Raw genomic sequence first — 22,442 nt, forward strand, 5'->3', positions numbered from 1 at the left:
GCTGCTCTCATCTCTACCCACATTCCACTTCTCACTGATCTAGGCATGTCCCCTAGGAAGGCTTCGTCAGCGCAGCCTCCTGGCCCTGGTCCTTACTGGCATCCCCAGCCAAGGCCAGCACTCCTCTGGTTGTGGGAAGGGGGCACCACTCCGTGCTGTTGGGGTTACCTCTGCATCCTGCTCTCCAGCTGGGAGGCCAGCAAAGTTGCTGTCTGGAGACTCCGCTGGCAGCCCCTGCAGAAGAGCACAGTTTTTACAGGCTCTTCCATAAAGGTCTCGTGACAGCAAACCCAAACCTTCTTCAGAACAAAATTGGTGTCAAATAGGAGGGTCAGACCTAAGGGAATGCCTTGTTTTCTGCAGCACTCCTGGCATTTTGGGGGCTTTGCAGCCATGCATGGCAGACCTTTGGTTATGCTACTTTGGACATGTGCACAAAGAACAGAGAAGCCAGGGCGGTTCCCGTCCCTTCCCTTACCTCTCCTTCTTCTGAGGGGGCCCTGCTGGCAGGCTGGGGGGAAGAGAGAGCCTCTCCCTCCTCTTCAGTGCCAGGGGCGATGTAGGAGCCAGACATGGAGGAGACGGTGTCAGTGCTGATCTGGGAGGATGCCATGGACATGACAGACTGGGCCAAGCTGCTGCTGGCAGGGCCTTTGGAGACAGGGGATGGGGAAAGGAGCCTGGAGGTCAGGCAGGGCTTCTGCAAGCTTTCTGGGGAGCAGAGCCCTCTCCCTGCATTCAGGCATTGAGGAGTGAAGTGGCCGTATCTTGCCCTCCCCTAAAAGTGGTTTTAGGTTTATGGTTTTCCAAAATTCTGCTCCTTTATATTTTAGAGCTCAGAACTCAGCCTTGGGGACAAGACATTTGCTTTTCCCTGTCATAATGCTAAAGGAAACCTCATTACAGGAGGACTGGGGCTGAGAGAATTAACACCCCACTAGCTACAGGCAAGCCTGCTATCCCATGGTAGGAAAGCAAGTCCTCTTCCCTCTCAAGCCAGGGCCTACTTGTCATGCAGTACAGGTATTAGCTTGCCACTCCCATGTCCCTTCCCGGAAGAAGCACCAGGACACTGTGGGCTGGGTAAGGGGGAAGGACATGCAGCCACTCCCCGCTCCTTATGTACCTTCTGGGGAGGAAATAGTGGATGACAGAGGCGTCCCTGTGCAAGACGACTGGTCAATAGCTCCAGATGACGACAAGGTGAGATTCTCACTTTCTGGAGTCACACCACATTCCTGGGGGTTGTGGGGGGACACAACAGGACATGGAGCAAGCGCCAGTCACCTGTGCTGGAGGAAGGGGTCAGGGCGGAGGTCTGGGTAGAGATGAGGAGGAAAGGCGACACTGGGAGGGACTGAGTGGCATGCAGAGGCCGCAGCTTCTCTCTTCCGTCCTCACTTCAGCCCAAGCCTGGAATGACTGCCTCCCAGGGGAGGCGCACACTTCAGTCAACACCTCCTGCCCAGGGCACAGCATCTGCTGCGGCCATACAAAGACTGCAGCTCGGGTGACACAGGTCACCCTGCAGCTGTGACATGGGGACACCCCAGGTTTCCCCAGGATTATGATCAGCTTTCCTTCTGCGGCAAAAGCATACAAAGCCAGCAGAGGACTTCCTGCCTGCAGGGTATCTCCACGTGGACCCCAGTTAATTCCTGCCCAGCTGCTTTCTGATACAAACACCACCTTGCTCCCCAGCCTGCTGCTCCTCCCACACCCCCACCTCCGATCCCAGCCCCGACCTGTCAGGCATCTGGGTGCACAGCCTCACCCGTCCAAGATGGATGCAAAGTTCTACGAACTGTATCTCCATAATCCCTTCCCTTCCCTCCAGGCGCTCCTCTTTTGTCTTAGTTCACGCAGTCCTTCTTTTTTTTTTCACTTTTTTTTTTTGAGATGGAGTCTCGCTCTGTTGCCCAGCCCAGGCTGGAGTGCAGTGGTGCGGTCTTGGCTCACTGCAACCCCTGCCTCCTGGGTTCAAGCGATTCTCCTGCCTCAGCCTCCCGAGTAGCTGGGACTACAGGTGCATGCCACCACACCTGGCTAATTTTTTGTATTTTTAGTAGAGACGGGGTTTCACCATGTTAGCCAGGATGGTCTCGATCTCCTGACCTCGTGATCCGCCCGCCTCGGCCTCCCAAAGTGCCGGGATTCCAGGCGTGAGCCTCCGCGCCCGGCCAGTCACACAGTCCTTCTTGCCTGGGCTACTGAAACCCTCTCCTGGCTGGGTCTGTCTCCCGTCTAGTCCAGGCTGCACACTGCGGTCGGGTGGGCCTTTGGGGTGTGAAGCACTCACTGTGCCCCTGGCTTGCTCCGAGCCCCGACTTCCTGCTCTGTGCCTTTGCATGCATCGTCTTCTCCACATGGATGTTTCTCTCACCTCTTTCTCCATGTCTAAAAAACTTCCAGGTTTAGCTAAAATGCTATTCCTCCATAACACATTTTCTGATTTCCTCCACTTACAATGATCTTTTCCATCTCTGACACAGCAATTTATCGTCTCTGTTTTGGGCATACTTCTTTTTTATAAAATTTACTTAGTCATTGAACAAATACTTACTGAGCAACAACAACGTGCCAGGCACATGCTATTCCCATGTATATGTCCTGTCCCAGCCAGACCTGAGCACCTAAGGGCAGGGACCACTTTATTTACCTTCCTGTGCCCTGCTGTATCTAGCTCAGTGCCCTACAGAGAGAAGCTGCATAAACCTTTGTTAAGTGAGGTCTCTGTGGGACGCACAGAGTAGAAAATTCCAGCCTTCTCTTCCATTCTTCCACATGGGCCTCCCGACACCCCCCACTTACCCCCAGGACTTTCTCCTTGCTGTTCCCAGACCTAGGGCCCTCTCTCCTCGTATATCTGCATAGCTAGCTCTACCACTTCCCTTGGTCTTGGCTCCTGGACCGCTTTTTAAGAATGGCAGCCCCCACTTCCAGCCGTGACACTCCCTTCCCACATGTCACACATGCTGATCCACAGCACCATCAGGCACACATGTATTTTTTTACCTATTGTCTTTTGTGCCCCCCACCCCAGATAGCAAGAATATAAATGCTACAAGGGCAGGGACTTTTGTAGTGTCCCAGCTACTATCCTCAGCATATAGCACAGTGCCTGGCAAATAATACAGGCTGCATACACTGTTGAATGCATGAATCCAGTGAAACCTTTGCCACTGCCTCAGAGGGTGCTGACAAGGTGTTTGATGAGTGAATGAGAGCAGAGGGACCTGATGAGGCATGCAGGTAGGAGGGAAGTCCCTGGAGTACAACACCCAAGAAGAGGAGAGGAATGTCAATTACCTCTCCGAGATGCTGAACCGACGGTCTCTGAGAGAGCTGTGTCTCCGACTCGCTGCAGGAATGCTCATCTTCCTCTTCATGCAGCACGGAAGAGTTTTGGGAAGTGGATCTGTAGGAGTCCAGTGGAAAAGCAGCTATATCCAACGTCCATTTAAAGAACAGAACTTACTGCAAGGGGAGCTGAGGGGAAAACCCAAATATTTTTTGCTTGTTTATTTTTTGAGACAGCATCTCATTATGTTTCCCAGGCTGGGCTGGGACTCCTGGGCTTCAGCGATCCTCTTGTTGACGCTTTAACAGAGGAGGAGTACAGCCTCCTGAGTAGCCGAGTAGGTCTGGGCTAACTTGCCTGGCTCGAAACCCAAATCTTAAGTAGGACTAGGGAAATAGAACCAGAGAGGGATGGAGACCTCTTTTGGGTGTCAGAAGCGCTAAGTTTTACTTTTAGCTCCTCTGATGACTTGCTATCTAAACTTGGGAAAAACCACTGCCATTTACAGGGTCTCAATATTTTCATCTGTAAAATACCCTCCCCTTTACTCTGCCACAGAAACCTTGTCATGATTTGTGCCTAGCTGGATTTAGATGTTTAAGAGATACGGATCACAAGGTTCCTTCAGTCTTCGGACTAAGCAATGCTCCCAGGGGCCTAGAAGGCCCTATCCACAGTGTTCAACATCCTCTTCCCTATATCCCATCCCCTATCCTTGAAAGAAAAAAAGAATACATAAGAGATTTGTCTCATCAGAGTTTTCTTAAGTACCTACATACCATCTTATTTTCATCTCTTAATGGATGGGATAACCTTCACGCAAGCAGCTCTGGGAACAGCCCAGAGGGTTACTCTGCCCTAAGTCCCCAGGATGTGGGCCAGCACCAAGGAGGGATGAAGCATTTCATCAAGGATTCCGGGGGCAACAGTGTGGAGCACTGGCTACTCACTTGGAGAGACTCTTTTTGAGTTTGAGTCCCTGACTGCTGCTGTCAGACAGGCGGTCAAGAGGCGAGATCGTCCTGACGGGGGGCAGGTGGCCATCACTGCCATATGAAGGGAGCATTCCTGAGAGGTGGCCATCTCCAAGCACGTGAAGTGGAGGAACTGCTGGGGACGGGGTGAGGGGCCCGTTGAGGGCCTCCAGAAGAGATACTACTTCATAGCCTGGTGGAATATTCTCTGAGGACTAGGGGAATCAGAGACAGGTTGAAAAATTAATTAGGTCCTTTTTGTTTTATGACGTGATCATGCTACTTCTCTACACTGAAAAAAATGTTTTATATCTGTTCTTGGGGGGGTCTGGTAAGAACAACTGTACTAGAGGCAGAGATAAAATATCAAAGAATCACACACTGTAGATCCTGCTTATTGGTAAGCTTTTTCTTAATAATCTCTATTTTTTTTCTGATTATAATGGAAATTTGGAAAATACATAAAAGTAAAAGTAAGGAAAAAAAATCACCAGTAATCAAATCACCCAAAGTTACTTTTGTTAGCATTCTGGTGTCTCTTCTTCCCATTTTTTTTCTGTGTACTATTTACACAGTTTTGATCAATCTGTAAATAACAATTTTATATTCTGCTTATTTTATTATACTTTCCTCTTTAAAAAAATAGAGATGGGATCTCACTATGTTGCCCAGGCTGGTCTTGAGCTCCTGGTCTCAATTGATCCTCCCACCATGGCCTCCCAAAGTGCTAGGATTACAGATGTAAGCCACCATGCCTGGCCAGAACATAAATATTTTCCTTTGTTTCTGAAGCCTCTTTATATATGTCCCCTTCTCATAGATCCCCTAAGTTTTCTAACTATTCTCCTAGTGCTGGGAATCTAGTTGTGTCTAACACATCCTATTGTAAACAAGTTTTGATGAACATCCTTGAATGCCTTTTTTTCAAATTATGTTCTTGTTATTAAATTATTAGCTCTTAGATGATGAGGTATAAATGTTTTTAAGGCCTTGATATATACTGCTGTTTTCTGCTGTTTTTTTTTTCAGTGCCTTTTCTAGTTACACTCCTATAAGTAATACAGAAGACCTATTCTGACTGCTTCCCCGAAAGCAGGGAGAATCGCTAAAAAGAAAAGTTTTTAAAATTTGAAAGTTGGAAAATGGTATTCTCATATTTGCATATCATTGATTTTTAATGTGGTTGAACTTTTTAAAAAATTCTATGTTGAGTGTGTTTTGTTTATGCCCTTTGCCCTTTTATCTACTGTTTTATTCAATATGAACTATGGCAAAGACATTAGCTTTTCCTCTGATACACACATTGTAAATAGTTTTTAAAAAAACACTATTTGTTGTCTAACTTTTAATTTTGGTTACCTTTTAGACCTCTGAAGTGCTAAACTTTTTAGGTGGTAAAATGTATGGTTCTTGCTTTCAAGCTTAGAGAATCCTTTCCAATCCAAAGTCAACTAAATAATCATCTATAATTTATTCTAGATTTTGAATGTTTTGCTTGGTTTGCTGTAATGTTTGTTTGGTTTGATGCTCTTAATATAGTTAACTAGTTACTCCAGCTGGAATTTATTTGGTAAGGAGTAAAGTGCTAAACTAATTTTTCCTCCTGAAATAGCTAACTAATTATCCCAATACCATTCACTAAATAATAATCTCTCCCAGCAGTGCGTTAGTCTAAAGAAAGACAGTATCTGCTGCTCTCTAACTGCAAAGCTTTGAGGTTTCACCCTAATATCAGCACTTACACTAGGAAACTGAAGTCAGTTACTTTATCTCAGGCACTGAGGCCACAAAACAGGATAAAGAAAAACAGTTACTTTCTTCGAGGATTCAAATAAAGATAATAAATTGTATTTAAATCCAAAATAATCGTCCCATTGTTTCTGCCTGGGGGAGTTCAAGTTGAACCTCACTGGAGTGAAACTGCAAGCAGATGGCTCTAGGAATGGTAAACATTAACTGGACACCAAGTTCCCAAGGAGGAAAAGGGAGGTTTTCAGTATTCAATTTTCCACAGTAATAAGTTGGTTTTAACGCATGCTCTCAGCCGGCTTGCTAAATACTGCAGCATGCCCTGGTCTAATTCCTTGCTGCAATGCCACGTAGAGAAGCATGAAAAGTTTAAAAAAGCCAATGAGGCATTTGCTTCAGAGGGGCCGTGGTTCCGAGCCCAACTTACTGGATGCTCTTCAGAGTCAGATGTCTGGGATGAGATGATGGGGTTAAAGCTGGTTGGGGACAAGGGGCCCAATTTTTTCCTCATGGCTCGGATCTGAAGCAGTGCCCGGAAGGCTGTGAAGGAGAAAACAGGCAATCAGGACATCCTGATACAGGATTAAGAATGAACAAGAGCCCAGACAGAAACCATGATCCCTCCCAGCGCGCATCCGTTTGTCAGATCCAGCAGCAGCACATGCTTCAGTGTTTTGTAAATGTCCTCTTGTCCCCTCTCCCACCCACCAGTCCCCCTGCCGCTCTGGGGCTTACGCAGTCGGCAGATGGGGCAGTTGTTGGCCTGGTAGCGCAGCGTGTCTGCACAGGTGTTACAGAGGCAGAGGTGGCGACAGGGCAGAATCAAGGTGTCCCGGACATCCGAGAGACACACCACACACTCGGCACTGTTATCACTCACTTCGTCTTCAGCCACCTGGCCAAGGAGAAAGAAATGTAGCCAATGGCACAAAGCCCTTCCTGTCCCATACTTTACTGACAAGGCAGCGTGGCTGAAGAGCTAAGATAAGTAATAATTACGAACAAAATCTGCATTGACATTGGACTTTGTCATTTTCCCAGTGCGTCCACACACTTAGCTTCACTTCTTCTGGGAAGTGTTTATCTAAAATTGAGAGGACGAGACTAACCACTCGAGCTCCTCCTATAAGGCCCAGAGCTGGGCCTCTCAAATCTCAGCTGAAGGGACTTAGGGGATCACACAGATAAAGGAAAAGGAGCAAAGAAAGGGCCCTGGTGGAAACCGAGTTGGACAGAGCTCTGTGGCAGAACAAAGCCAAACCAGCCTACTTTTCTCATTTCCAAAGTGGTAAAAGCGTAATGATCTGAAATGAGGAACAAGAAAATACCCTTCTAAGACCTAACTGATTTCAGAGTTTGGCACGCTAAATTTCTGGACGCTGGCTTACGATTTCTCACTTGGCCTCCTGGAAAGAGTACATTCAGAATTTTGGGTAAAACTTACCTTAGAATCTTGTGTGTTGTACTTGTTTTCAATTCCATAGATCTCCTGAAGGAGGTAGCTGACCCCGTCTACCTGAACAGCAAACAGAAAGGTTCAAGGACAGGCTGTCTCTACTGAGAGACAAGAGTGGGAACTCCCTCCAATCTTACCTCTTTTGGTAACCAAGGACTACCGATTCATAATGAGAAAAAAAATCAAAGGCCTGGATAAGTAAAAGATGCTTTTATTTACTTATGTTTTCTCTTTGAGAGAAGAAAGAAAATCAAATATTTAATTCACCCATCATTATATACAACAGGGAACATAAAATTTCACAAATACAATAATAATACTTGCACTGCAGCATACTATTATGGACAATTAAGAAGGCACAGACTAGAAAAAGGATGGAAGGGCATGCATTAAAATCTAGGCATTTGCTATATAATCCAATTTGAGTTCAGACATTATACAAATAAAGGAATGGAAAAGAGAAAGAAAAAGAAGAAGAAGTTGGCAAGGAAAAAGATGGGAAGGGAAAATATGGATGCAAAGGGCGATAGCAAGACCTTGAGGGAGAGGCTAATGGTGTGTACCCCACACCATGAAGCCACCCCATCCCCAACATGCAGCAAAATTACACCTCTTGGCCCTGTTTCCTTTTTTTTTTTTTTTTTTTTGAGATAGGGTCTTGCTCTGTCATCCAGGCTGGAGTGCAGTGGCACCATCTTGGCTCGCTGCAACCTCCACCTCCTGGGTTCAAGCGATTCTCCTGTCTCAGCCTCCTGAGTAGCTGCGATTACAGGGTGTGCACCACCATGCCTGGCTAATTTTTGTATTTTGTGGTAGAGACGGGGTTTCACCATGTTGACCAGGCTGGTCTCAAACTCCTGACCTCAAGTGATCCACCTGCCTCAGGCTCCCGAACTGCTAGGATAACAGAGATGAGCCATCAAGCCCGGCCAGCCCTGTTTCTTAAAACCCCAACTACCAAGGCCCAATCCCACTCCCATTAACCTGGGCCATGTCAGTGTCTAAGTTGGCCCTGCCCCATTTACTTTTAGGAGCACACTCTTCTGCCTCACCTCTGTTTCTTAGCCATCCCTTCCCCTAAGACATAGCCTGTCGCTGATTTTATATCCCACTCTCCGTTTTAACAGTCTGTTGCTAATGCCAATCTAACAAGAGGAAAATGGACAAACCATCTTCCTCTAGCTACACGAGCCTTTCCATCCCATCCAGGCCTCCTGGAGAACCAGGCCTTCCCCCATGAGGCAACTCACCAAGGCCTGGCCTGCCCAGGTAGTGCCCTGGGCCTGAGCCCAGGATCTGTTTCCTCCTCTGCTGCTCTTAAAACTTGTTTTCATGCAGTGATTATATTGGAAAACTAATTTATCCTAAGATATTCTTATTATTGACCTCATTAAAAGAGAGGCGAGTAATTAACCTAAAAGAACGAACAGTGTAGAATTTCAGGTATCTATCACCCATCTACAGGAAGGCTTTTCTTTGCATCTCGAGGAAGCCCAACCCTGCCTCCTACCCAGCTGCTCTACACCCTCCGTGAGATGACCTGCCCCTCACCCACCCTCCCTTGCCAATGCCACTGGCACCACTCTCTCTCCTCCCAGTGATGTCTCCTCCTACCTCTACAAGAGTGGAAAGAAAAGTGCTGGCACATGGTAGGGGCTGGGACTTTCTAGCAGACATATGCACAAGGTGCTGATCATTCTGGAAGAGGGAGAATGGATGGCTAACTTTGAATTTTAGAAAAGGAATGGATAAATTAAGCCAATGACTCTAATTACACTAAATTGGACCCTAATGCTTTATCCTTTCGCTTGAAATGTTTCTCACTCTGGCATTTTAAATAAAAAGAGTTCTCCCTAAACCCAATGTTGGGAAATAAATCTTGTTCTTTCATTTCTCAAGTCCTTTGCTCAGATAAAGGCTCCCTCAACACCAACACTTCTGGAACAATGAAGACCTCAAAAATCAGCATTCCTTTCAGGCCACCCAAGTCGTTTGTAATAGCTTGTAACATTCAAAAGCACTCCCTTTTTTTCTTTTCTTCTTTGATTAAAAAAAAAAAAAGAGGAAAAGGAGAGAGCAAAAAGTAAAACAAAAATAAAAAAAGAGGGAGAGAGAAGAAGAAAGGAAAGAATAAAAGGAAGGAAGGACCCTAATACTAACAGTCTGTGGTCTTCAAATACTTACTACTTGTTTCTGTTTGAGGGGCTTGACACAGAAAGTTCCATCTGTGTGCTGGAATGAAAATATGAAAGTTATGACAAGGAAGGGAGGGTAATAAAGCACCAGGTATTCTTCTGTTACATCTCCCAGTTACAGTCGCCCTCCCTGATCTGCAGTTTCATTTTCCATGGTTTCAATTACCCGCCATCAACCACTGTCTGAAAATATTACATACAATATTTTGAGAGAGAAAGATCACATTCAGACTTCTATTACCTTATAGTTATAATTGTTTTAGTTTACTATTATTCTTAGTCTCTTACTGTGCCTAACTTATGAATTAAACTTTATCATAGGTGTGGATGTAGTATGGGAAAAACCACAGTGTATATGAGGGTTCTGTACGATCTGCAGTTTCAGGCATCCACTGGGGGTCTTGGAACTTATCTCCTGAGGATAAGGGGGGACTACTGTACACATGTTCCTGGACACTCTCAGAGCAGAATTATACAATCCTAATTCTTTAAAGGTCTTATAATTATCCAGTCTAGCCTTTCTTTCTTTTATTTATTTATTTTTTTTGAGACAGAGCCTCACTCTATCGCCCAGGCTGGAGTGCGGTGGTGCCATCTCAGCTCACTGCAACCTCTTTCACCATTATAGCCTCTAAAGCCAGACCCATTCTGCTGAGCTCAGGCACCCAGCAAACGGGTTACATGTGTCTCACACGAAAGAAAGGGCTAAAGGCAATAAAGCGAGGCCCTCTAAAGTCACTCACCTTCTCAAAAGTACCCAGCAGTACATGGCAATGGCCAAAATACTCTGAAAGAAACAAAGGCACGTGAGTGAAGAAGCCCAAACAGCACATCTTGATGCCCATGACTTTCTCCAGTTCCCTGCAATCTGGCAAACCAAATGTGCCAGTCTGTCTCTAGAAGGGGCACGTTATATAACCCATACTTTTTTTTTTTTGAGACAGAGTCTGGCTCTGTTGCCTGGGCTGGAGTGCGGTGGCATGATCTTGGCTCACTGTGGCCTCCGCCTCCCGGTTCCAGCAATTCTCCTGCCTCAGCCTCCCAAGTATCTGGGATTATACGCATGAGCCACCATGCCCGGTTACTTTTCTGTATTTTTAGTAGAGACGGGGTTTCACTATGTTGGTCAGGCTGGTCTCAAACTCTTGACTTCAGGTGATCTGCCCGCCTCAGCCTCCCAAAGTGCTAGGATTACAGGGATGAGCCACTACGCCCAGCTAAACCACATTTTTTTGAGACTGAGCCTCACTCTGTCACCCAGGCTGGAGTGCAGTGGCACAATCTCGGCTCACTGCAACCTCCGCCTCCCAGGTTCAAACGATTCTGCTGCCTCAGCCTCCCAAGTAGTTGAGATTAGAGGTGCACACTGCCATACCCAGCTGATTTTTGTATTTTTAGTAGAGACAGGGTTTCCCCATGTTGCCTAGGCTGGTCTCGAACTCCTGACCTCAGGTGATCCACCCACCTCGGCCTCCCAAACTGCTGGGATTATACGTGTGAGCCACTGTGCCCAGCCAAACCCACACTTTTCACATCAGCCCAGGAGCTTGGAGTCACAGATGTGAGAGGATGCAGAGACTGCCTGACTCACAGTCACAAACACCCACAAAGAAGGCATGTTGTTCTGGGGCCACAGCTGCTGCCAGGAATATGCCACAAAAGAGCAGTGTGCACAGCCAAAGAGGACAGAAATCGCCCCTACCGTCTCCTTCATCCACCACGGCATGTACCACTAGAGGGTAAACTTCTCGGTCTAAATCAAAGCCAAGCTGAAGGGAAAGAAAAGGAAAGGAAAAAAAAAGAGGACTTAACACATTTACATGGCACAGCTAATCTCAGAAAGGGCGATACTGTCAAGAAGCATTAATCTCATCTCTGCTCCTCATTCTTTAGCCTTGTTAATTACCCAAGTTTGTTAACTGAGGGCCATCAGCTGCTTTTTAAAAATGTCATAGATGTAAATAAGAACCTCTAACCTATAGATTTTTTTTTTCTTTGAGCATGGCTTTCTCAAAGTATCCTAGGCTAATGGGCTATTTCCATTCCTAGGGAATGGAAAAATTAACAAAGTTAGGTATATCCTTGATGCAAAATAAGCAGAGCTTTAAAAGGACATGATGAAGTCACAAGGCTGAAAGGTAAGCATGGCCTTCAAGCATCCGAGCAGCCCCTTTGCTGTCAGACCGAGTCCTAAGTAGCCCCTAGGCCCTTCTGAGTGGATGTGGGAAACCCTCCCCAGAGGCAGCTCACCTCCTCTTCGGCCCACTCGGAGGGATCCACGGTGTGGGAGGGCAGGCAGAACTGCTGACACACTCCTCGCTTGTACTGCACAGTCTCCGACTGGAGGCTGTTGTCTTTGGGAATGTAGCTATTGATACAAGTGGGAGGCAAAGCAAAAGTCAGTATCCGGCACAGATGGGTCTGACAACTTCCTCTGCTCATGCCTGTTCTCAATTATCAACAGGGTCTAGCGAAGAGAAGAAAGGGTCCTTTATAATCCATTTCCTTTGCTCTTGCTTGGCAACGTTAAACTTTTCTATTCAACCCACACATCCAAAGAAAGGTAGCTTACTAGATTTTTAACAGCATGTTAAGGACCTGAAGGACTATACCACCATTTGTCACTATACCAAGATGGCACAATTTGAAGGGAAAAGGTAAAGGGTAGGGCTTTGTAGAAGAAAGTCTAAATTCAGGAACCAGATCTCATCTGGCTGCAGAAAAAGAATGTTTTCCGCCCTTGCTGAGTGGATAAGACATGGACTCTCCCTATCTGGGAAGGAAGTGGCTCGCCTGGTCTCCTGATCTTACCTGGTAATACCATTCTGGAACTCTTCCGTGGCCTGGTAATAATCTGGGAAGGAAGTGGCTCTCCTGGTCTCCTGATCTTACCTGGCAATACCATTCTGGAACTCTTCCGTGGCCTGGTAATAGATGGTGATGGCTACCCGAGCATCTGTGTCAAAGGTGAACTCAACATTGTAGTGGACTTTAGCTTTACTGGCCTCTTCTCCAGGGCTCTTCACTTCCTCAGCACATCTAGAAAACCAGAGACTCAGCATTTGCAGAGTAGCATATCAATATTTTAAAATTTACCTTTAAAAAAATTAGCAATATATTGTGGGCTTCTCTGAATGATCATAAGCATAGGTCTACCTCTTCATTCTGAATGATCACAGAGTGCTTCATGACCCATGTTGCTGGGCATTCAGGTTACTTCTGGTATCTCATAGTGCTACCACTACACCATTGTGCATTTGGCACTTTTGTTTTTATTTTAATAAAAGTTATTAATCACATAGTTTAAATAGTTTCCTCAAGGCAAAAAACAGCAGGCCTTACTTCTTCCCTTTCCTCGTCTTCAGAGGACACCCCTTTTAGTGATCATTTTGGCATTTACCCACGTTTCTAAAAAATATACTTGGGTTACTACTTCTTGATTTTTCAGTTTCAGGCGCTATCTATGGGTTTCCTACTATGGAAACAAGGATTTCTTTCTCTTTCCTCACTGTGCTCCATGTAGGAACTCCGCCATCCCCCCAGTGTAGCTGCATCATGATTTTATTATAATAGTCCAGTACATTTGTGTCTGTATTACTGTGATTACACAAACTTATAATCTATGATTATTTTTCTTTTCCTGCATAACTTTTTCTTAGTGCTCATCCTATTTTTTTTTTTTTCTTCCAGTTGCGTAGTTTCCTATGTACTCATCACAAATTCCAACCCAAGCTCTCTGGGGCTGTCTAAATCTCTCAAGACGTTCAGATGCACCAAGCGGTCTATTCATTTCATCTTATTGAGGAGGTCCCTTGGACTTGCTCCCATCTGTACTTGGCCCTCTGCACCTGGCTCCCAGTCGCCACCCTGGAATCTCTCTCCCCCTCCAACATCCTGGTGGGTCCCTTTTGCCTCTGTCCTCCTGTAGAAGCTCATGTTTCCTGCACCTCAAGTCTTCCTCTGTCTTGGGTTATTCTTTCATATCGGTGGAGCACGTGTCCTGCCAGCTTCCTGAAAAAGGGTGTGTTGGGAAATAAACTTTTGAGAGCTATTATTCAACATTCACACTTCACTGAAAGTTTGGCTGAGCAAAGTATTCTAGATTATAAATAATTTCTAAAAGACACTGAAAGCCTTTTCACTGCCTTATTTTTCACCTCCCAGCGTTGCTCCCAAGAAGTCTGAAGTCGTTCCAACTGTTGATCCTTCTTCTTCTGAAAGCTTACAGACGGTCCTCTTTCTCAGCCACTGTGTGGGCACTTGGTGGTCCTTTCCATTTAGAAACTTGTACCCTCTGGTTCTGAGAAGTTTTCTTAAATTCTATGTCACTGATGATTTCCTTCCTTTTACATTCTCTGTTCTCTGTAGAACCCGTTAGTTGGATGTCAGACCTTCTAAATGGGTGCTCTATTACTTGCGTCTTTCTTCTTCTATTTTCCTTCTCTCTGGATTTTTGCTCTACTTTCTAGAATATTTCAAGTTTTCTTCCTATCATTCTATTGAAATTTTCATTTCTGCTCCCTGTTTTTAATTTCTAAAAGCTATTTTTTTGGTTTCATAAACACTTTGTGTCATTGTGTCCATGAAAGAAAAAGATAACTTCTCTCATGTCTTTGAGACTATTAATGAAGTTTTCTTCTTCCTGCATAGCTTTTGTTTCCAATTAGATTTTTTTTACTTTATTATTATTTTATATAGAGATGGGGTCTCACTATGTTGCCCAGGCTGGTCTCAAACTCCTGGGCTTAAGTGATCCTCCTGTTTTGGCCTCCCAAAGGTCTGGGATTAGAGGTGTGAGCCACCACACCCGGCCTAGTTAGGTTTTTTTTTTTTTTTTTTGAGATGAAGTCTTGATCTGTCACCCAGGCTGGAGTGCAATGGCACGATCTTGGCTCATTGCAACCTCTGCCTCCTGGATTCAAGTGATTCTCCCGTCTCAGCCTCCCAAGTAGCTGGGATTATAGGCGTGTGCCACCAGGCCCAGCTAATTTTTTTGTATTTTTGTAGAGATGGGGTTTCTCCATGTTGGCCAGGCTGGTCTCGAACTCCTGACCTCAAGTGATCCACCCGCCTCACCTTCCCAAAGTGCTGGGATTATAGGCGTGAGCCACCGCACCTGGCCTAGTTAGGTTGTTTTAAAATGTTGGTTTGTTTTGCTACTGTCTTTCCTATTATAGGCATTCCTTACACATCTAAGAATCTGTGGCTGTCTGCTTGTATTTAAGATATTTAAACTGCTGATTAGAGCTCTGAGTGCACAGCAGGACTTGGGGATCCTGGGCTTCACTGTGGGCTGACCTGGATCTGTTGAGGAACCTCTAACTCTAGTCTCTTAGGTTTTCCTATCCAGGCAGGTCCAATTTCCAGAAAACAGTTTTCCTCTCTCTTGACAAAGGCCTGGCTGCCAGCATTCTAGGGGCAGAATGGAGAGGCAGCTGGAGGGCTCAACATCCAGTATGCCAGGATCCACTCACCTGCTGTTTTGTTTTGAGACAGGGTCTCACTCTTGCCCAGGCTGGAGTGCAGTGCTGTGATCGTGACTCATTGCAGCCTTGACCTCCCTAGGCCCAGGTGATCCTCCCACTTCAGCCTCCCAAGTAGCTGGGACTACAGGTGTGCACTACCATGCTTGGCTAATTTTTGTATTTCTTGTAGAGACAGGGCTTTACCATATTGCCCAGGCTGGTTAGCCTGTTTTTAGTACTGGCCATTAGCTGTGCCTGGGTCTCTCTTGTCCAGAGATTCTCTGTTTTGACCTTTCCAGGGAGAGTCATCTGCCTGCCTTTGGCCAAGGTGTAGGAATGTAGTTCTGGCTGTGTGGTACAAGGGAGAGGATCTGCCTACCTTGAAGGCAGACTTTCTACCAATCCTCTTCATTTTAGCCTCCCACCTCAACTTCTAGAGGGACCTGGCACTGCTAATTTCTGAACCCTTTGGGGGATAATATCACAGTATAAATTGGGTGATTCTCAGCTTTTCTTTCTGCTAGTTCAGGATTCTGATTTCCTGGGTCTACTAAGTCATTTAACGTTCACTATGTGTTTCCAGCTTCTAAAATGTTGTTGCTGTTGCTCTCTTCCCATTCTCCAAATATTTACAGATTTATGCCTTTTTAAAGAAATTTTTAAAATTTTTTATTTATTTATTTTATTGAGATGGAGTCTCACTCTGTCGCCCAGGCTGAAGTGCAGTGGCACAATCTCGCCTCACTGCAACCTCTGTCTCCCGGGTTCACATCATTCTCCTGCCTCAGCCTCCCAAATAGCTGGGATTACAGGTGCCTGCCACCATGCCCGGCTAATTTTTTGTATTTTTAGTGGAGACGGGGTTTCACTGTGTTAGCCAGGATGGTCTCGATCTCCTGACCTCGTGATCCGCCCGCCTTGGCCTCCCAAAGTGCTGGGATTACAGGCATGAGCCACTGCACCGGGCCTTATTTTTTATTTTTTAGTTGGAGTCTCACTCTGTCACCCAGAGTGGAGTGCAGTGGTACAATCTCGGCTCACTGCAACCTCTGTCTCCTGGGTTCAAGCAATTCTCCTGCTTCAGCCTCCGGAGCAGCTAGGATTACAGATGCGTGCCACCATGTCTGGCTAATTTTTGTATTTTTAGTAGAGACGGGTTTTTACCATGTTGGCCAGGCTGGTCTTGAACTCCTGACCTCGGTGATCCGCCCGCCTTGGTCTCCCAAAGTGCTGGGATTACATGCATGAGCCATCATGCCCGGCCAGATTTATGCCTTTTAAATACATGTTTATAATTACTTAATGGGGTTTTCAGAGGAAGCAAAAGTAGGTGTTCAATCCTCCATCTTTACCTGGAAATCCGAGAATCAGAATTTATTCCCATAATCACAGAAAAACAAAACAAAGAACACCCTTCAAGTTAACATTTATTGAACACCAGGTGTTTTCCCTTCTGTTACCTTAATTTTGACAACCACCATGAAAGGTAAAGTTGATTATCACCATTTTACAGATAAAAGAACCTGAAGCTCAGACACTCATTCAAGCAAGCATCTGTGGACCTGGGAGGCAAACTGCTCTGCTGCTTCCAAGTCTGGTTCTTCTAGCGCATGACAGCTGCTTCATCCTATTCTAGAGCTGCAGCCAGGCTGCCACGGCAGAGGCTATGACCTCACAGCAGCTCAGGCCCTTGAATGGTCTCCATCAAATGTGTGAATGTGCCATATGTGATGAGAGAAACCAAGTGGACAGAGTAGCTGGCAATGGCAGGCCCCAGAGGCCTCGTTAGTCTGCTCTGCTGCTGGATGAACTCCCCTGGGTCAGGTCGGGGGACTGTTCTGCAGCAGACAGGTACCTCCTTGAATCTCTCCTCCCCAGAGTTGACCCTGGGGTGGAGAGAAGCATAGCTGGGGAACCAGCAGAAACTTCAGGGACAAATAAAATATAAAAAATTAAGAGAGAGAAACAGAAAATAGATTAGTGGTTACTTAGGGCTGGGAGGACTGCTTGAGCCCGGGAAGTTAAGGCTGCAGTGAGCTGAGATCGTGCCACTGTACTGCAGCCTGGGTGACAAAGTGAGACTCTGGGCCAGGTGCGGTGGCTCACGCCTGTAATCCCAGCACTTTGGGAGGCTGAGACGGGCAGATCACCTGAGGTTGGGAGTTCAAGACCAGCCTGACCAACATGGAGAAACTCTGTCTCTACTAAAAACACAAAATTAACCGGGCGTGGTGATGCATGCCTGTAATCACAGCTACTTAGGAGGATAAGGCAGAAGAATCCCTTGAACCTGGGAGGTGGAGGTTGCAGTGAGCCGAGATCGCAGTGAGCCGAGATCGTGCCATTGCACTCCAGCCTGGGCAACAAGAGCAAAACTCCATCTCAAAAAAAAAAAAAAAAAAAAAAAAAAGGCGAGACTCTGTCTCAAATATATATATATATATATCAGACAGAAACATTGTAATGCTAATAAGGCTGTTCTATACAAGCATGAGATGGTCTCTGAGTCATCTTCCTTGCCTATTCAGAAAAATCTGGGACCTTGATTTGCCCTAACCAAATTTTTTCACCAGAGAATCAGACAGCCTTGGTAGACATATCATCTAGGGGTGGCGGGCAGTGGGAATGTATCAGACTAAAAATTACACTGTCTCAAGGATGGCACCAAGAAGGCAAATGACGATAATTAACATTGATGATGAGGATTAAGCAACCAACCCAGTGCACTATGAGTTCCTTAGAGAACAGACACATGATATAGGGAATAAAAAAGAAAAAGAAGGCTGGGCGCGGTGGCTCACGCCTGTAATCCCAGCACTTTGGGAGGCCAAGGCAGGTGGATCACGAGGTCAGGAGATCGAGACCATCCTGGCTAACATGGTGAAACCCCGTCTCTATTAAAAATACAAAAAATTAGCCGGACGTGGTGGCGGGCGCCTGTAGTCCCAGCTACTCGGGAGGCTGAGGCAGGAGAATGGCGTGAACCCTGGAGATGGAGCGTGCAGTGAGCCGAGATTGCGCCACTGCACTCCAGCCTGGGTGACAGAGCGAGACTCCGTCTCAAAAAAAAAAAGAAAAGAAAAAGAAAATATAGCAATAAAATAAAGGATTTGATATTCTAAGTTCAAATTTCCCATTTTTACATTGGCTTGTTGGAGTAGCTGCAAAAATTCCCATTTTCCCTTAATAATTCTTCTTCCCTTTTAAAAAATATCCATAAAATAAGGATACTAAGCATTTCTAGGCAAGCGAAAGTTTTTCACAAACACAGACGATTGCATCCAGTGCTGAACAACATGGGTGTGGACGGCCTGATCTCAGCAGAAAGTAGCGCCCGCACTCCTGTCTGAGGCCCAGAGAAGCAAGCTCTGGGGCTGCCGGAAACTGCTGTATGAGTTCCTTGGGAAGTCTGTCCCCCAGCCCCCAGCCTCCCCAAAGGAAGGTGCCTGGGACCTGGCCCCAGCCTCTGGGAACTTACTTGACGAGCCTCAGTGTGTCCTTTCGGATATTGACCAGGCTTCTCAGAGTCTTCACGGGTTCTTGGGGAGGTGGGGCGGCGTAAGGAAACTGTGTCAGAAACAAAGCAGGAGAAGGTGGTGTGTTTAAAAAGACCCACAGCTGTCCCTCGCTTTACAGTTTGCCAAGAATAGCCCTAAGAGGTGAGGCAGGAAGGCACAACTCTCCTAATTAAGTGAGGAAACTGAAACTCCGACATACTGAGTCAACCTGCTCAAGGTCACAGCTAGCGGGAAAACTGGGATGCAATTTGGGGCCCAAAGAGCCAGATTTATCTTCTTTTTCCATTATATGAAGCTTATTTCGGTCAGTGTTCAAAACCTGGAGAATTAATAATAAAAAAAAAAACCGCTGAAGTTCCAAATACCAAAGGACACACTGTGGCCGAGTTAATCACAAAAGGCTTTTCCATCTGACCTCAGACGACAGGGAACCAGACCTGCAAGCCCTTTCCTTCGGTGAGGCCATGCGGTATCCCAGGAGTTTAGGGACCGCAAATAAAAGAGGGCCCCATCATGTGTACAGAGCTGAAGTTTGCAAACAGTAAAGAACAAACTTCCCCTGCAGCTGATCATATAAAGCAGAGCTCTTTAACATGTGAGCCAAGAGTTATTTTGGGGTCACCAAAGGTTTATGGTTGTCTTCATCATTTACCATCCGCTTCTTCCCCCTTTGCCCGTTTAGACCTTTGGATTTGAAGTTCTGAGTTGTTGATAATGATGAGATAAAGAAAGGGGAAATAGCCAAAAATTTCACTGGGAATTGCCTTCTGAGGATCAAGAATGATTTCAAATGTTCCCGGTATTTTTAAAATGTTATTTGGGCAATCAAAATGTTTTAACATATAATTCCCAAAAAACCTACTGGTCTCTGCAGCTTTGCAAAACTGTGGTTCTCTTGGCTCAAGAAGAGTCTACCTCCATAGTGTGGTATCACAAAACAGGACACCCAAGTTATAATCAAATTGTGCCCTCACAGGTTTTTATTGAATATGGTTATTTTACTTGGGAAACAATATAGTTAAACCATAGTTAAGGTGCATCTGACTTAATGTACGCAGTATAATTGCTTATAATTCACAGGTATGAATGTGACTCTTACATTCAATAGAAATTATCTTCATTCAGATTACTCACTTTGTGGGCATGATGCAGTAATTTACTTTTTCATTGATATATTAACCATACATTCTTTTAAAAATGATAGTTTTTTCTAATTACAAAGTAATATATGTTTAAGCAGAAAACTTGAAAAACACAAAAAAGTACAAAACTATCCCTAATTTTACTACTCGGCAATACCAAAATTAACATTATGGAATACGTATCTCCATCCGTCCGTCTATCCATCCATCCTGTCCACCTCTATATCTATGTGCTGTTTCACACTGAACATACTATTTTGCAGTTTCTTTTTCACCTAAAAAGATGTGGTAAACATTTTTAAAGTCCATAATTTTGATAACATTGCAGATAATAGCATACTTTAATCAATTCCATATTATTCAATATTTTATGTTGGTTTTACTTTTTTTCGCAGCTATAAATGTTGTGGTGAATATCCTTGTCCCTATATTTCTGCATGCTTGTTTGATTATTTCCTAAGGACAAATTCCTAGAAGTGGAATTACAGGATCAAAGAGTAAGCATATTTTTAAGACTTTAAAAATTATTTTGCCAAACAGTTTTCCACAAAGCTGACTCCAACTTTGCCCTCCTGCAAGCAGTGCATCAGGAGGCCTTGACATGGTAAAACTGAAATTCTAGTTCAGATCCCATCTGTGGCCTGTTTCTCCTCCCCCAACTTTCCTAGGCTGTCATACTAAAGGAATTTAAAACAATTTTTAAATAAGCTTAAGCAAAAAGTAATTAGGCAGGAAAATCCGACACAAACGCTAGTCTATTCTAAAGCCAAAATAAATGACTTTGGGATTAAAATTTTTTTCTGGAGTAGCAAAGTTAATCATTTTCATTTGTACAGGTACTTGGGCGTTATCCATAACTCCTACCTGCATTTCAAAAAAAAGATGCGTCTTTTCCCTTATTCTTTACTCTTTCTCCTCCATAGCCACTCCCTGCCGCAAAAGAGAGAAAAATAAAAAGAAAGAAAAAAAAATCCTGGCACTCTTTATCCTCCATTTTGAATATATTTGATGATAACTGTGGCAATGAAACATAAGCTATTTGGCTCTTAAGGAAAGGTATCAATGAGTTCAATTGTTTATAAATCCACCCCTATACTTTAGGCTCTCCCTGTACACACACATACACGCACAAGACAACAACGGCAAATCTGTTCAGGAGAAGCTTGTTCGTGGGCTGCTACCCACCAAAGTTTGTGCCTTGCTGGCCTTGCATTCATGCAATCAGAGTCTACATGCAACACTCCATGCCAGGAGTAAGGAGAGATTGAAAACCAAGAAGATAAGGCCCTGCTCTTTCAGGAAGCTGCATTATAAGGCAGCTGACATAGTAATTGTAATATCAAAGAGATTAAATATATGGATATTTTTTTGCCACAAAAGGCAAAAATAAAGGAAGTGATCATTTCTGGCTGAGGTAATCTGAAGGCTTCATGGAGGAGTTGGTAGTTGATCTGGGATCCTAAAGGATAAATGAAATTTGCAAATTCAGAGATAACAGAGAAGATGGAGGGGACAGTAGGATCAGAGGCAAATTAAAAAAAATTTTTTTTCTGCTCTTAGAGTTGTCTCCCATTCTTCTGTAAATCGATTTTGCCTACTATTACTCTCGAAATTTCTTAGTGAGTTATCTTCCTTTCAAAAATTACCATTTATTGAGTGCTTACTATTGATGACAGTGGTGGGCTGTCCAGAGCAGCCGCTGCCATCACAACGGCTGCTGCAGGGGGGTCGCAGGGAGCAGACAGACAGCCCCTCCACAGCTTGCCGCCCTGGAGGCCACCCCATGGGGCTGGCCGGGTTACCCACCAGCAGAGGAGCAGCGTGGCAGAAGAGCAGCGCGGTAGGGCAAAGAGGAGCCCCGAGGCGGAGCTGGGCCTTGGCCAGTGTCCCGCTTGCTCATGGAGCGCCAGGGCCAGGCCTGGGCGCGGAGCTGGGGCCATGCTTCAGGGGCCCCGGGCAGGAAGTGGGAGCAGCTTCCGCTTCGGGCACCTGGCCATTGGCGCAGCCACTGTGCCCACCCTGCCGAGGGTGCCAGGTTCCTGTGCCTCGGGAGGAGGTTCTGCGCAGCCCGTCTGGGGCTGCGCCCCCAGGTCTGCCCCACATTGGGGTGACCACTGAGCCTGACACTCCTGGGCAGATGGCCTGGCCCAGGCCCAGGCCCAGGATCCACTCTGTCCCAGACTGCCCGTGAAGCACCGGGGGAACAGGCAGAGCTCATGGCGATGTCACCCTGCCCTGGACACTGGCCCCGGCCCTGGCCCCGGCCCAGTGAGGACCTGGAGCCCCTGCCCCAGGCTGCAAGGGGGTGCTGCAGGGGCTGCATGCTCCACAGAGCCGGTGGAAGCCAGGAACAGGCAGCAGCCCCGCCTTGGGCTGTGGATCGGGGGCCTCCATAAGCTCTTGGAGACACGGAAAAGCCCTCCCACCCCCCCGCCCCAGCAGGCTCGGAAGTGCCTGCTCCTGCCGCCTAGCTTCTGCTTGCTCTTGGTGCTGGCTCTGATCTTAGAGCAGTGTGGGGCCAAGCCAAGGTGCTGTTGCAGCCAGGCTAGGAGTGCACATGCTCGGGGTAGCGCTGACAAGCCAGCCCCCTGCTGCCTCGGCCCCTTCCAGACTTTGGGCACTGATGAGCATGAGGGAAGGGG

The 22,442-nt window shown here is 46.0% G+C and overlaps 1 protein-coding gene across 8 annotated transcripts in view, besides 1 other annotated feature; it reads right to left on the minus strand.

Moving 5' to 3' along the window:
* Positions 1-22,442, minus strand: part of RNF157 (ring finger protein 157) — a 98,020-nt gene that overhangs the window by 12,610 nt on the left and 62,968 nt on the right. For 2 of the 8 annotated variants that reach the window (XM_047435288.1, XM_017024120.3), the window contains exons 2-16: positions 20,665-20,730; positions 18,619-18,707; positions 12,568-12,714; positions 11,926-12,043; positions 11,378-11,444; positions 10,419-10,462; positions 9,665-9,712; positions 7,469-7,540; positions 6,760-6,919; positions 6,452-6,564; positions 4,252-4,490; positions 3,310-3,418; positions 1,127-1,238; positions 479-651; positions 169-234 (exon numbers count right to left, since the gene is read on the minus strand). In XM_047435288.1, coding sequence (XP_047291244.1) covers positions 169-234; positions 479-651; positions 1,127-1,238; positions 3,310-3,418; positions 4,252-4,490; positions 6,452-6,564; positions 6,760-6,919; positions 7,469-7,540; positions 9,665-9,712; positions 10,419-10,462; positions 11,378-11,444; positions 11,926-12,043; positions 12,568-12,714; positions 18,619-18,707; positions 20,665-20,670 — 1,563 coding nt within the window. In that variant the 5' untranslated portion in view covers positions 20,671-20,730. The other 6 variants (NM_052916.3, NM_001438721.1, NM_001330501.2 and 3 more) reach the window with 4 other exon arrangements.
* Positions 11,730-12,929: an enhancer, noted in NCBI's record as "CDK7 strongly-dependent group 2 enhancer chr17:74162894-74164093 (GRCh37/hg19 assembly coordinates)". NCBI's record gives its function as "activates an origin of replication core promoter dependent on BRD2, BRD4, P300/CBP, MED14 and CDK7 cofactors, with strong dependence on CDK7, by STARR-seq in HCT116 cells {active_cell/tissue: HCT116}" and the evidence as "EXISTENCE:reporter gene assay evidence [ECO:0000049][PMID:35650434]".

Source organism: Homo sapiens, chromosome 17 (assembly GCF_000001405.40).
Source record: "Homo sapiens chromosome 17, GRCh38.p14 Primary Assembly".
In the NCBI taxonomy this organism is placed as follows: Eukaryota; Metazoa; Chordata; class Mammalia; order Primates; family Hominidae; genus Homo; species Homo sapiens.